Source organism: Homo sapiens, chromosome 12 (assembly GCF_000001405.40).
Source record: "Homo sapiens chromosome 12, GRCh38.p14 Primary Assembly".
NCBI classification, from domain to species: Eukaryota; Metazoa; Chordata; class Mammalia; order Primates; family Hominidae; genus Homo; species Homo sapiens.
In genome coordinates, this window is record NC_000012.12 from 114,608,810 (window position 1) to 114,624,711 (window position 15,902).

The 15,902-nt window shown below is 43.9% G+C and overlaps 1 long non-coding RNA gene across 1 annotated transcript, besides 1 other annotated feature; it reads left to right on the forward strand.

The window, feature by feature from the left end:
• Positions 9,932-10,116: a silencer, noted in NCBI's record as "fragment chr12:115056546-115056730 (GRCh37/hg19 assembly coordinates)". NCBI's record gives its function as "represses an EF-1alpha promoter that drives an FKBP-Casp9 reporter gene in an ReSE screen in HepG2 liver carcinoma cells {active_cell/tissue: HepG2}" and the evidence as "EXISTENCE:reporter gene assay evidence [ECO:0000049][PMID:32094911]".
• LOC124903026 (uncharacterized) lies at positions 12,588-14,115 on the forward strand. Its single transcript, XR_007063470.1, has 2 exons — positions 12,588-13,202; positions 13,995-14,115. It is a non-coding gene; the product is annotated as an uncharacterized LOC124903026 (long non-coding RNA).
• The last annotated feature ends 1,787 nt before the right edge of the window (positions 14,116-15,902 follow it).

A 15,902-nucleotide genomic window follows, 5' to 3' on the forward strand; every position in this document is an offset into this window, starting at 1 on the left:
TCACACAGTATTTGTCTCTTTATGTCTGGCTTATTTCACTCAGCGTAGTGTCCTCAAAGTTCATCCATGTGGTAGCACGTGTCAGAATTTCCTTGTTTTCTAAGGCCAAATACTATTTCATTACATGGATACATTGCATTTTGTTTATCCACTCATCTGTTAATGGACACTTGGCTTGCTTGCACCTATTGGCTACTGTGATACGTGCTGCTATAAACATGGGTGTGCAAATATATCTTTGAGTCCCTGCTTTCAATTTTTTTGGGTAGACACCCAGCAGTGGAATTGCTGGATCATACGGTCAGTCTATGGATGGTTAATACTGAGTGTCAACTTAATTGGATTAAACGGTGCAAAGTGTTGATCCTGGGTGTGTCTGTGAGGGTTTTGCCAAAGGAGATTAATGTTTGAGTCAGTGGACTGGGAGAGGTAGACCCAACCTCAGTCTAGGTGGGCACCATCTAATCAGCTGCCAGTGCGGCCAGAATAAAAGCAGCCAGAAGAACATGGAGAGATTAGACTAGCTCAGCCTCCGAGCCTACATCTTTCTCCCATGCTGGATGCTTCCTGCCCTTGAACATCGGACTCCAAGTTCTTCAGCTTTGGGATTCGGACTGGCTTCCTTGCTCCTCAGCTTGTGGAAGGTCTATTGTGACCCTGTGATCGTGTGAGTTAATACTCCTTAATAAACTCCCCTCTATATATACATCTATCCTATTAGTTCTGTCCCTCTAGAGAACCCTGACTAATACAGTCTATGTCTAGCTTTTTGAGGAACTGCCCTACTGTTTTAGCAGCTGCACCATTTTACATTCTCACCAGAGTGCACAAGGGTTCCAATTTCTCCACATTTTTGCCAACATTTATATTTTCTTTTGAGACAGATTCTCACTTTGTCACCCAGGCTGGAGTGAAGTGCTGCAATCATAGCTCACGCAGCAGCCTCAACCTCTCAGGCTCAGGCAATCCTCCTGCCTCAGCCTCCTGAGTGGCTGGGACTACAGGCACCTGCTACCATACCCAACTAATTTTTTGTGTTATTTGTAGAGATGGGATCTCCCTGGGTTGCCCAGACTGGTCTTGAACTCCTGGCCTCAAACAATCCTCCAGACTCGGCCTCCCAAAGTGCTGGGATCGCAGACATAAGCTGCAGCACCCAGCCAACACTTGTGTTTTCTGTTTTGTTTTGTTTTTAATAGTAGCCATCCTAATTGATGTAAAGTGGTATATCTTTGTGGTTTTGATTTACATTTGCCAGATGATTATTGATGTTGAGCAGGTGTTCATGTGCCATGACTTTCTTTTTTTCCAGTGGATAGTGGCCTCCTTTATTGGATTCAGTATGAGAACAAGGAGACCTGGGTTCAGCTCTATTACTTACCAGGTAGCACATCACTGGGCAGATAACTGCCCCTTCTTTAATCCTGACACCTTTTTTGTTTGTTTGTTTGTTTGAGATGGAGACTCACTGTTGCCCCAGGCTGGAGTACAGTTGTGCGATCTCAATTCATTGCAACCTTCTTCACCTCCAGGGTTCAAGCAATTCTGCTTCAGCCTCCCGAGTAGCTGGGATTACAGGTGCCTGCCACCACCGCCGACTAATTTTTTGTATTTTTAGTAGAGATGGGGTTTCACCATGCTAACCAGGCTGGTCTTGAACTCCTGACCTCCAGTGATCTGCCCACCTCGGCCTCCCAAACTGCTGGGATTATGGGCATGAGCCACTGTGTCCTGCCTAATCCTGACATATTTTTAAGGGGACAAATCTAGTTTTACTTTTCTGTCTATTTTATATTTGCTTTTATTATTTTAATTACACAGGAAATTCAACTTTGCTGCAGGAGAAATAGAAAATACAAATAAGCAGTTAGGGGAAAAAAAGGACTCTCATAATCCAACACCCAGAGATAAAACATTATTAACATTTATAAGAATATTAAATATGCTATCTTCTAACCAACCTTTTTACTGAAAATATTACAGCTGTCTTCCTAAGTCAATCATACAGGTAAACAAATTGTTTTTCTGTCAGTATAATATTCTTTACAAACATGCTATAAGGCTTCAACTCAGCCAGGCATGGTGGCTCGCACCTGTAATCCCAGAACTTTGGGCGGCTGAGGTGGGGGGGATCACCTGAGGTCAAGAGTTTGAGACCAGCCCGGCCAACGTGGGGAAACCCTGTCTACTAAAAATAAAAAATTAGCTGGGCATGGTGGCATGTGTCTGTAATCCCAGCTACCCAGGAGGCTGAAACAGGAGAATCACTGGAACCTGGGAGGCGGAGGTTGCAGTGAGCCAAGATCCTGCCACTGCACTCCAGCTTGGGCGACAGAGTGAGACTCCATCTCAAATAAATAAATAAATAAATAGTTTCAACTCATCCCCATCTCCTGGACATTTCTTTTTGTTTTGTTTTGAGACAGATCAGATTCTAGCTCTGTTGCCTAGGCTGGAGTGAAGTGGCACGATATTGACTCACTGCAACCTCTGCCTCCTGGGTTCAAGTGATTCTCCTGTTTCAGCCTCCCGAGTAGCTGGGACTACAGGTGTGTGCCACCTCGCCCAGCTAATTTTTGTATTTTTAGTAGAGACATGGTTTCACCATGTTGGCCAGGCTGGTCTCAAGCTTCTGAGCTCAAGTGATCCACCCGCCACGGCCTCCCAAAGTGCTGGGATTACAGACATGAGCCACTGTGCCCAGTCTATTTAGGTTATTTCCATTCTGCACATTTTAAGTCACTTATGAATAGGGTGACTCCTTTACGCAGTGGTTTCTTTATGCTGTGTCTGAGTGATTCCTGAAGCTTGAACTGAGTGGCAGGGACACAGTGTGGATATTTACATTGAGCAAATGAAGACTTTGGACTCTGGCCCCGCACAGAGCTCCTCACTGTCAGCCTGGAAGTTTGTTTTTTTTTTTTTTCCCACACTCTGAGCTCATTCCCATTGTGAAAATGAGAAGTCATCAAGAGGTCACAAGATGACATGAGATGATAATACCTGTAGGGGAATGTTGACTTCTAAAGAAAAGAGAAGGGATCATTATTTACCGATAACCTACCATTTCATGGCATTTCCCAGCACAGTGTATGTAGCACAACTCCAGTTCAATGCCCCCTGATATTTAATATAATAAAGAGTCTCATGGCCCCCAGAGGTTACATCACACAGGAAGAAGACAAACATGAGCATAAACAGGAAGATTTTATACTTCTCACTGAATCTCTCTCACCGTTTCCCTCTTGTCTGCCAGGTACCAGGTGCCAGAAAATCTCCCACCTCCCTTGTCCCAGTAAAAGGATAAAGCATTCAGTGGCCCCTGGTAGCTCTTTTTCAGGTTCTCACAGATCTCAAACACCCTATCCCTTCCCTTCCACCAGAGGACTTGACGCCCCACCCAAAGCACACTCCGACCCACTTCCCACACGGCAGCCAGAATGGGAAATCAGCCTCAACCCACATAGGAATCATGATGAGTGCGGCTGACACTCACCACGTGCTTCATGTACACCAGGCACTGGATGTGCATGTACACAGGCCCTGCACATAACATCCTGTTTGAAGGGCACAAAAATCCCAAGAGGATGGTATTGCTACTCCCGCTTTACAAAAAGAAAAAGGAACAGAGGCTCAGAGAGTCCCAACACACCATGGCTCATCAGCAGGGAGCGAGTTTTTAACCCCAAGTCTGTGAGATCCTGGTGCTCCCAACTAGTATATTTTAGTGCCTCTTTGAACCATGACATTGGCCATGAAGAAAGTGGTAGCATCTCATCACATGTTCTAGAGAGGCCACTGGAACATCTTCTAGACTTTCTAAAGAGAGAGTTAACCTCTTCTTCTAATCAATATATAAGAACCATGTGTCACATTAATAAAGCTAATCATGTAATTGCAGATATATGTATACATACATACACATATATACATATGTATACATGCACTCATATATATACCTATGCACAGTAGATGCATACATATATGCATACATTTGTATGTATGAATTTACATACACAATTGCATATAGACAAACACTATATACATGCATATATATAAAGTATAAGGTCAGAAACTAAATACAGTATATATGTATGTATATATATGTAAATGTGTATATATATATGAACTCATGTATATACATTCACATATATATGTACATATGAGTCAGATCAGAAATTACATTTATTTTTCTTGTTCATGTGTTTCTTCTTCAGTGATATATCCCCACCATTCTGTGAGAATGGTTGGAAATTCTGATCACTTCACACCCAAATTCTCTGGTTTGTTGCAAATTTTTTTTCTCAAAATAATACTACTCAAATTTTAAAAATATATTTATTTTTAAAAGAGTTGGGCATATCTGATATAGCTTAGGCTAAGCTAAGTGTTCATGGTTTCTATCCAGTGAAATATGAGTGAACAAGAGTTTGGGGAGATTTAAGGATGGATTCATATGCAGCCATTAGAATATTTCCGGAATACCTACCTACTAGAAGCGGAACTTATAACATATTATGATCATGCTTGTGGAAATTTATGCTGGCTAGCATTTGGGGGACATCGCCTGGATCAAGGCCAAGGTCACTCTTGTCTCTAGCACACATGCAGATATGCTTCTCATCACAGTAGATACCTTAATTCAGAATGATCCTACAGAAGCAGACATCCCTACCAGATTGCTATTGCTGTGAATGCAACTCCGAAGGGGACTGGACCACAGGCAGCTGGACTTTACATAAGTTACAACAGGAATTTCTGTCCAATGGATAAGCTTGGCCTTTATGACATACACATCAGAGGAAAGAGTTAGCCAACAGGTAGGAGCTACTGTGAGGCTGATTTCAAATATGTTGCCTTTTTCCTATCTTCAGCCTTTAAGATAGTGCAAATCTTTCTATTTTCTCCCTACCTCCAGCTTTAAGTCCCTTCCAGTGATTGCCAAAATCTGAAGCCCAAAAGTGGGGATAGGAAGAAAGCTTGACCCAAAAGTGTCCTTGGATGTTGTGAATACAATGCGTTCATAATTTTTCTTGTCACACTGTATCACACACTAGTTCTAGCTTTTATGTCTCATGATCCTCCACCAGAATGTATAAAATTTAAAAAAGACTGTCAGTACTAACAACTGGTAAGGCTGTAGAGCAATAGGACACAATGCTTTTGGGAATGTGAATTGGCAGTATCACTTTGGAAAACTGCTTGGCAGTATCTGATAATACTGAACACATGTATGTTCCCATGACCCAGAAATTTCACTCTTAAAGGCATACTCCCCCTAGAATGAGTGCTTATGTGCACCAAAAGACATGCATAAGAATATTTTAAGCAGATTTATTTGCTACAACTCGAAGCTGGGAAACAAAACAAAACAAATGTCCATTGAGAACAGAAAGGATAAATGCGGTATGCTCATGAAATGGAATACTATACAGTCATGAAAAAGAACAAACTGGAGCCACGTGCAATAAGTTAGATTAATTCACAGACATGACTGAAAGAAACCAGACATAAAAGAGAACATAATGTGTGGTCCTATTTGTATGAAGTTCAAAAATAGGCAAAATTATCTATGGCAATAGAAGTCAGAAGAGAAGTCAGAATAGAAGTCAGAATTATTTCCCTTCTTAGGGAGAGAATTTACTGGCAGGACGGGGCGTGATGGCTCACGCCTGTAATCCCAACACTTTAGGAGGTTGAGGTGGGAGGATTTCTTGAGCCCAGGAATTCCAGACCAGCCCTGGCAATATAGGAAGACCTCATCTCTTTTTAAAAAAAATTTTTTTTAAATTTTGGTGCATGCCTGTCATCCCAGTTACTTGGGAAGCTGAGGTGGAGGATTGCTTTAGTCTAAGAGGTCGGGGCTGCAGTGAGCTATGATCACACCACTGCACTCTAGCCTGGGTGACAGAGCACAAGACCCTGTCTCAAAAAATAAAAATAAAGAAATATGTATGTGTTTACTATGTGACAGGAACTGTTTGTAAATAAAGGACTTTCTAAGAGACAATCAGAAGGGGGACACTTTCCAGCCTGGCTCAGCATCTCCAAAATGCAAATGAAGATATTACTCTCCCTCGTGAATTTCAGAGATACCCTCCCTGCTCTCATTCTGGAGAGACCAGTGGGAAAAATTGACCCTTCCTTGGCCCCAGTGTCCTCTGCCCACCGCCTCCTCCCTGAGAGCAGACATCCCAGCACTTCCGCTGGAACCCGACAAGCTGTCTCCCTCTGCCACAGGACACTCAGCCAGAGAGTCACTGGTCACTCTGTGGAAGGTTAATTGCTGGTCCCACTACAATAATTACACCCACGGCTAGAACATGGAGCAAAGCAACAAATTTCAACATCACAGGGTGGAGAGGGCAGGGAGAATCACAAAGCTGTTGAAACTGAAGTTCTCAATGCGTGCGATTTATGGCTGAGCAGCTATCTCAGTCTGTAGCATCAAAGCCTTAGGTGAGAGCAGAGGTGACAGGGACACCCAATGCCTCGGTGGCCAGTTCCTGCTCAATTTGAGGTCACAGGTCACATGAGATCTATCTGTTGACTTGGAAACTCTTCAAATCTGGGCACAACTCCCTGTGCCCACAGATAACTCCATTCTTCTCACACGCTTTTGGGTATCTCGAGTGGTGATTGAGAATAGCTCCTGCTCCTCTCCTTCTCTGCCAGCTGCTAGAGGAAATGTCTCCGCTATGAATAGTAGGAATTGTGTTTAATATTTGCGAGATTTGCTTCAAAATCATGTGGATAGGCCGGGCGCGGTGGCTCATGCCTGTAATCCCAGCACTTTGGGAGGCCGAGGCGGGCGGATCACAAGGTCAGGAGATCGAGACCATCCTGGCTAACATGGGGAAACCCTGTATCTATTAAATATACAAAAAAATTAGACAGGCGTGGTGGCGGGTGCCTGTAGTTCCAGCTACTCAGGAGGCTGAGGCAGGAGAATGGCCTGAACCCGGAAGGCAGAGCTTTCAGTGAGCTGAGATCACACCACTGCACTGCAGCCTGGGCGACAGAGCTGGACTCCATCTCAAAAAAAAAAATAAAAAAAGGTCTGGATAGCAGTTACCTTTGGTAGAGTTATAGATAACCCTGAGATTAGCCATTAGTTACAAGTAACTTCAAAATCAGTAATTAATTTATGAGTAGTGGGTACATGGGGTCCATGAAGCCATTCACTCTCGTTTTGTATTTGTTTGAATTTTTTCATATTAATATCTTCTTATTACATTTTCATATTAATGCAAAAACAAAACATGTTTTTTGAAGGAGCATGGTGGCTCACATCTGTAATCCCAGCACTTTGGGAGGTCAAGGTGGGAGGACCACTTGGGCCCAGGAGTTCAAGACTAGCCTGGGCAACATAGCAAGTCCCTGTCCCTACACACACACACACACACACACACACACAATTAGCCACACAGGCATGGCCTGGTGGTGTGCATTTGTGGTTACAGCGACCCCATGAGCTGATGTGGGAGGATTACTTGAGCCCAGGACATCGAGGCTGCCATGAGTCGTGATCGTGCCACCACTGACCTCCAGTCTAGTGACAGGGAAAGCCAATCGCAAAAGAAGGGGAAAAAAAAGACAATCGACTAAGCTGAACGAAATAAAATCCAAAGTAAGAATTCAGGGAAGGCCTTCAAAGAAGACATTCCAGGCCGAGCACAGTGGCTCATGCCTGTAATCCCCGCACTTTGGGAGGCTGAGGGTGAGTGGATCACCTGAGGTCAGGAGTTCAAACCAGCCTAGCCAACATGGTGAAACTCCATCTCTACTAAAAATACAAAAATTAGCCGGGCATGGTGGTGGGTGGCTGTAATCCTAGCTACTTGGGAGGCTGAGGCTGGAGAATCACTTGAAACCGGAAGGCTGAAGTTGCAAAAAGCTGAGATCACTGCAAAAAATTAGCTTGGCTAACTTTTTACGTTTCTTTATTTGTAGAGACAAGATCTTACTATGTTGCCCAAGCTAGTCTTGAACTCCTGGGCTCAAATGATCCTCCATCCTTGGCCGCCCAAAGTGCTGGGATTACAGATGTAAGCCACCACACCCAGCCCTTATGTTTAATTTTAAACAAAAGTGCAGCTTTAGATGATCTCATCTTAACCACCAATAAGACCAGGCATTATGTAAGGGGGAGAACTGAGGCTCAGAAGAAATGAGTGGCATGCCTCAGATCCACCAGCTCATGGTAAAAGAGCAAGAACGGGAATCTAGGCCTGCCAATATAGTCTTGTATTCTCCCTCTGTGACTACATCCTGGAGGCCTCAACACCCATCCTTGCTGTTTGATAGGTCACTTCCAGCACTGACGTTGGAGAGAAACCAAGAAGCAGCACAGGGGTTGGGATTAGGAGGTGCATCCATGTCATCTGTGTATTCGTGGGAAGCAACTGTACAGGAAGAGCGTTCCCCTGGGCTGGGTTTTCCCAGTATCAGACCCTGGGACAACGATGTGAAGGCAAGTGGTTTATTTGGGAGGTGACCCCAGGTAGCACTGGTCCCCTACCAGTGCTTTTTTGTTGGTTTTTGCTGATTTTTATTTTTTTGCTGTTCTTGTTTTTTTTTTTTTTTTTTTGTCTTTTCTTTTTCTTTTTTTTAGACTGGGTCTCATTGTCACCCAGGCTGGAGTGCAGTGGCACAATCACAGCTCACTGCAGCCTTGACCTCCCAAGCTCAAGCAATCTTTCTGTCTCAGCCTCCCAAATTGCTGAGATTACAGGTGTGAGCTACCATGCCTGGCCTATGTCTTTTATTTCTTTTTTCTTTCTTTCTTTTTTTTTTTTGAGACAGAGTCTCGCTCCATCACCCAGGCTGGAGTGCAGTGGCGCAATCTCGGCTCACTGCAAGCTCCGCCTCCCAGGTTCACGCCATTCTCCTGCCTCAGCCTCCCGAGTAGCTGGGACTACAGGTACCCGCTGCCACACCCGACTAATTTTTTGTATTTTTAGTAGAGACGGGGTTTCATCGTAGACAGGATGATCTCAATCTCCTGACCTTGTGATCTGCCTGCCTTGGACTCCCAAAGTGCTGGGATTACAGGTATGAGCCACCACACCTGGCTTTTATTTCTAATAATCCATCCTTCCCTACCAAAAAGACACCTGCACTCACATGTTCATCACAGCACATTCACAATATAAAAGAAATGGAATCAACCTAGGACTGGATACAGAAAATGTGGTACATATACACCATGGAATACTATGCAGCCATAAAAAAGAGAATGAAATCATGTCCTTTGCAGCAACATGGATGCAGCTGGAGGCCATGATCCTAAGCAAATTAACACAGAAACAAAACCCCAAAATACCCCATGTTCTCTCTTACAAGTGGGAACTAATCATTGGGTACACATGGACATAAAGATGGGGACAACAGACACTCTAGAAGTGGGGAGGGAGGGGAGGAGGCAAAACTGAAAAACTACCTATCAAGTACTATGCTCACTGTTTGGGTGACGGGTCCAATTGAATCTCTAACTCAGCATCACACAACATACTCATGTAACAAATCTGTACATGTACCCCCTGAATCTAAAATTTACAACAAAATTGAAAAACAATCTATCCTTCAGAAATACTCACCCAGGCATACAACAATGTAATTGTTGCAGCATTGGTTATAACCAACAAAAAAAATGAAAACAACCTCAGTGTCCATGAACTGGGGATTAGTGAAATAAACAGAAGCACAGCTGTATTATGGAGCACTCAGCAGCAGTTTAGATGTACTGTTATGGTAAGAGGTCCCTGATATATTGTTATATGGAAGAAGAAAAAAAAGCAAGTTGCAACAAAATAGGTTTTGCCTTATTTAATGTTTTCTATATTTAAAAAAAAACGAAGGGCCAGGTGCAGTGGCTCATGCCTGTAATCCCAGCACTCGAGGAGGCCAAGGTGGGCAGAATGCTTGAGTCCAGGAGTGTGATACCAACCTGGGTAACACAGCAAAACCCCATTTCTGCTAAAACATTAGCCAGGCATGGTGGCGTGCACCTGTAATTTCAGCTGCTCGGGAGGCTGAGGTGGGAGAAACACCTGAGCCCAGGAGGTCGAGGCTGCAATGAGCCATGATTGTACCACTGCACTCCAGCCTGGGCAACCAGCCAGAGTGAGACCCTGTCTAAAACATAAATAAATAAATAAATTAAATAAAACAATGAGGAAGGCTACTCACTAAACTACAGATGGTGATTTCCTCTGGGGAGTGACATTGGAGGATAAGGGATTAGAGAAAATTTTTACTTTCTTTTTCTTTTTCTTTTTTTTGAGACAGGGTCTCACTCCGTCACCCAGACTGGAGTGCAGTGGTGCCACCTTGGCTCACTGCAGCCTCAGCCTCCTGGGCTCAAGGGATCCTCCCCACTCAGCCTCCTGAGTAGCTGGGACTATAGCCATGTGCCACCATGCCCAGCTAAAATGTTTCCTTTTTTCTGTATATACTTTTGCCTTTTCATTTTTACAATGAATCCATATTACTTTCGCCATAAAACCAAGGCAAAATTATATATGTAATAAAAGCTCAACTTCTTGGCAGGGCAAAGTGGTAGCTGAGCAGATACTGGGAAAAGACTGCCTCAGTAGCTAGCTGGATTCAGCCAAGAGGTGACCAGGAATCCTCACGTCTACCTGCTCAGGGTGTCATTTGTAGGCATCCATGATCTATTGATCATGGCTGTGTAAGGCACAAACCAACCTCAGCCTTCACCTCACTGGCACCAGATGCCCATCAAGTCTCAGCCTTTAATTGACTTTTCTAGCTTACCTCCTGTCTCTTGGGTCTATGGGTTTAGTAATTTCCACTGGGTCACACTGTAAACCCTTATACTGAGAACAAAACAACATCATTAAGAGGAAGTATGGTGTTGTGTTTGAAAGCATTCATGCTCTGGAGGCACTGCCTCGGTTTGAATCCTGGGAGTCCTAATAACTAGCTCTGTGACCCTTAAGCTTGTTGCTTAACTTCTCTGAGCCACAGCCTCCTTATCTGTAAAATAGTAACAATAATACGACCTATATAATAGGGTTCTTCTGAGGATTAAATAAAAAAAAATACAATGAAGTGTTCAGAAAGTAGTGCCTGGTACCTGGCAATGGCTCAATAAATATGAGTTACTATTTTTTTAAATTTTACTTTAAGTTCTGAGATACATGTGCAGAACATGCAGGCTTGTTACATAGGTATACATATGCCATGGTGGTTTGCTGCACCTATCAACCCATCATCTAGGTTTTAAGCCCTGCAGGCATTAGGTATTTGTCCTAATGCTCTCCCTCCCCTTGCCCCCGACCTCCGACAGGCCCAGGTGTGTGATGTTCCCCTGCCTGTATCTATGTGTTCAAATGTGAGTTACTATTTTATTTGTTTGTTTGTTTGTTTGTTTATTTATTGAGACAGTGTCTCACTCTGTTGTCTGGGCTGGAGTGCAGTGGCATGATCATAGCTCACTGCATCCTAGACCTCCTGGGCTCAAGCGATCCTCCTACCCCAGCCTTCCGAGTAGTTAGGACTATAGCTGTGCGCCACCACGCCGGGCTAATTTTTGTGTTTTTTGTAGAGACAAGGTCTCACTATGTTGCCCAGGCTGGTCTTGAACTCTTGGGTTCAAGTGATCCTCCCACCTCTGCCTCCCAAAGTGCTGGGATTACAAGTGTCAGCCACCATATCTGGCCATGAGTTGCTAGTTTAATCACTCTTTATTGAGCACCTACTACCTATCAGGACTTTTCATATGCTATTTGTTATTTTTCCAACTTCTCCACAAAGCAGGTATTGTTTATTCCTGTCTTATAGGTAAGAGAATATATATGTCTTAGAAAATATATGTGTAGGTCAGTACCTGTAATCTCAGCAGTTTGCCCACCGTGGGCAGATGGTCCGAGCAGAGGAGTTCGAGACCAGCCTGGACAACAGAGTGAGACCTTGTCGCTACAGATAATTTAAAAATTAGCCAGGCATGGCGGCGTGCCTGTGGTCCCAGCTATTCACAAGGCTGAAGTGGGAGGATCTCTTGAGTCTGGGAGGCCAAGGATGCAGTGAGCCATGATCGTGCCACTGCACTCCAGCCTGGGCAACAGAGCAAGACCCTGTCTCAACAAACAAACAAAAACAACAAAAAGCAAACAAAAAAGAAAATACATTTGTAATGCTCAGAGAGCGAGGGATCTTAAGAATTGCTCTTTCTTTGGCACCCATTAAAAGAGGAAATTTAAGCTGGGCACAGTGGCTCACACTGTGATCCTAGCACTTTGGGAGGCCCTGGTGAGCAGATTGCCTGAGCTCAGGAGTTTGAGACCAGCCTGGGCAACGTGGTAAAACCCCATCTCTACTAAAATACAAAATATTAACTGAGTGTGGTGGCATGTGCCTGTAGTCCCAGCTACTCGGGAGGCCGAGGAAGGAGAATCGCTTGAACCTGGGAGGTGGAGGTTGCAGTAAGCCGAGATCATGCCACTGCACTCTAGCCTGGGCAACAGAGTGAGATTCTGTCTCAAAAAAAAAAAAAGGCAATTTGTATTTTCCAAAAGTGATTAAAGCAATATTTCTGATGCCATAATCTCTTCCAGAAACTTGGCACCCTTCCATCGAGAGACAGAGCTACTTCTCCTCCTTTTGAACCTAAGCAGGCCTTTGTGACTGGCTCAGTGAATGGAATATTGCAGAAGGAAGGCTGTGTGACTTCTGAGTCTAGGTCATAAACAATGATAGAGCTTCCATCTGAGCCTTTTCTCGCTTGGGACATTCACCCTTGAAATCCAGCTACCATGTTGTAAGGCAGCCCAAGCTACATGGGGAGGCCACATGGTAGATGTTCTGGCCAATGGCCTCAATTGAGTTACCAACCAGCAGCCCACATCAACCAGCAGACACATGAATGAGTGAGCGCTCTGATGATCTCTGCCTACAACCTTTGAGCCATCCCAGCTGTTGCTGAGTGGAGCAGAGAGAAACAGTCTTCACCAAGCCCTGCCCAGGTTGTACATCTATGAGCAAAATGCTATTGTTGCTATTTGAAGCCACTAAGTTTTAAGGCAGCTTGCCACAAAGATAAGGATACCTGGAACACTATGTGTCAAGTCACTGGGCAGAGACATCATCTAATTTAATCTTTAAAACAGCTGCTTTGGAAGATATCCCTGCTTTATAGATGCAGAATTAGGACTTGAAGGACCAAGATCACATTGCAAGTAAGTGGAGAAACCAGAATTCCTACCCATGTCTCTCTGGCTGCAGAACCCACATGCTTTTGATAAGTAACACTCACCCCAGGTAAAGCTGGGAAGAATCAAAGTTATGTATCTGCTATCAGGACCATGACACCCAAAAGTCAGTCCCTAAAATGGATTACTCAGACAGAGACATTTCACTTTATCGAGAATTATTTTCTTAAATAAGAGTCCTTCATGGGCATCTCGCAAAGTGTCTCTCCACATTGGGACTCATTCATGTCCTGCCTGCTGCTGCTGTATTCCTTGGAGAGACCCAAGATTGTGGGAATGGGATGTGCTGAGTGTGGGAAGATGTTTGTTTGGAAGCCTAAGGTTTTATGGGAATTCCTTCATCTCTGGGGATAAATGGTAGCTTACGCTAAGCCCCTGATATACATGCTGATTAACTTAGATTGAAATTTGTGATGGGAAAATTCAAACAGAGGCATTTCCTCCAATCCACCCCCCTCTCCATTGAACTTTGACCACAACCGCAAACACCACCAAGAAACAGCTTTCCATAATAAAATAATATTAAATAATTCACTGGCAATTATAGATAACTTCCAGAATTTAACCAAATCCCATCAATCCCGTGTATCATGTACCATTAGAATACCCATTTTTATGGATGAGAAAACTGAGGCTCAGAGAGGGAAGTGATTTGACCCAGGTCAAAGAGCTAGGAAGTAGAAGAGGCAGAATTTGAACCAAGTTCTGTTTGATTCAGAAGCTGGTCCTCTTTATAACTGCAAAACTGATTTCTTACAGATAGGGAAGAAGAGAACAAATCAGTTGGAAGAAACAGAATGAGCAAAGTCAAGAAGACGTAAAAGCAAGGTGCATCTGACTTTACAATTCAATAGAATAAAAAACACAACAATGACGAAAATGGTGTAAAATCTGTTCATTATAAAGTGACTACCTTCACCCAGAAGAAGTCCCTCCAGTAAGGGTTCACAGGGGGGATAATGTTTGAGTCTTGAAGACCATGTCAAATGCCAATCATCTAGAAGGACGTTATTATTAATATTACTATGTTGGTGGCCATAACTATTAGCATTATTTGTGTATGTGCTGATATGGTTTGGCTCTGTGTCCCCACCCAAATCTCATCTCCAATTGTAATCCCCACAGTGAGGTGGGGATTACGGAGGGACGTGTAATCCTCAGGTGTGGAGGGAGGGAAGCGATTGGATCATGGGGGTGGTTTCCCCGATGCTGTTCTCGTGATAGTGAGTTCTCACGAGAGCTGATGGTTTTAAAGTCTGGCACTTCCTCCTTCTCACACTCACTCTCTCCTGCCACCTTGTGAAGAAGGTGCTTGCTTCCCCTTCGCCTTCCACCACGATTGTAAGATTCCTGAGGCCTCCCCAGCCAGGTGGAACTGTGAGTCTATTAAACCTCTTTCCTTCATAAATTACCCAGTCTTGGGTATTTCTTTATAGCAGTGCGAAAGTGGACTAATATATGTGCATTGGTGAGAGTCAATAGTTGTATGTGACAGAATCCCAACTCAAACTAGCTTTAAGAGAAAAATGAGATTCACTGATTTACGTATGTGGAAAGGAAAACGTGGTTACATAGATTCTAACAATATTGGCTGGTCTCAACTCAGCCCTCTTTAACTCTCTTCTGCCTTGCCTCTCAATGCATTGGTCTCATTCTAAAGCTATTTAGCTGGGTTTTCCTGGCTACAGCATAGCTCCAGGCAGCTTCAGGTGAGTGACATCAATCACCTCAGCACCCCAAAGCTAAAAAGAAAAGCCTTTTGCCTCCAGCATTGAGGGACATAATGCCTAGAAATGATCCTATTGGTTAGGTTGGGGTTTTATGGTTCTCCCTGAGCTAATCACTGAGGCCAGGACATGGGAATCTGTGATTGGCCAACTCTGGGTCACATGGCCCACCATCACCCATAACAGCCAACCAGTAAAATTGCTTCTCTCATAAAGCTGATGTGACCATTAAATGAGTTAATATTTGTGAATGCTCAGAAAAGTGCTTGGCAAATATTAAATATTAAACCTTCAACAAATGTTAGTCATCAGTTTACCTCTTTTCATTCCCTCAAGACATCCAAGCTCCTCTCCTTGACTGCTGAGACCAGAGCTCATGTACCCCTTTTATTAACAAAACAGCCACTTTCAGGCACCATCATATTTGATGCCTCATAAGAATACTGTGAATATGGCTGGGCACAGTGGCTTATGCCTGTAACCCCAGCACTTTAGGAGGTCAAGGTGGGTGGATCACTTGAGGCCAGGAGTTCGAGACCAGCCTGGCCATCCTGGTGAAACTGCGCGTGGTGGTATGTGCCTGTATTCCTAGCTACTTGGAAGGCTGAGGTGGGAGGGTTGCTTGAACCTGGGAGGCAGAGGTAGCAGTGAACCAAGATCATGCCACTGCACTCCAGCCTGGGCGAGAGAATGAGACTCTGTCTCAAAAAAAAAAAATGCTGTGAATAGTTGTATATTTTCGTTCTCATTTTAGAAAAGAGAAAATTGTGAGGCTCAGCATCTGCCTTAGTCCAAGAGCAGTGGCTGCATGTCAATAAGTAGCTTTAGAAAGAATGCCTTTGACAGACGGGAAACAGAGTCCCAGAGAGCAAAGGGACCTCTTCACATTGTGTCAGTAACAGAGCCTGGTTTCAACTCGACTCTCCCAAACTCTCTCCGC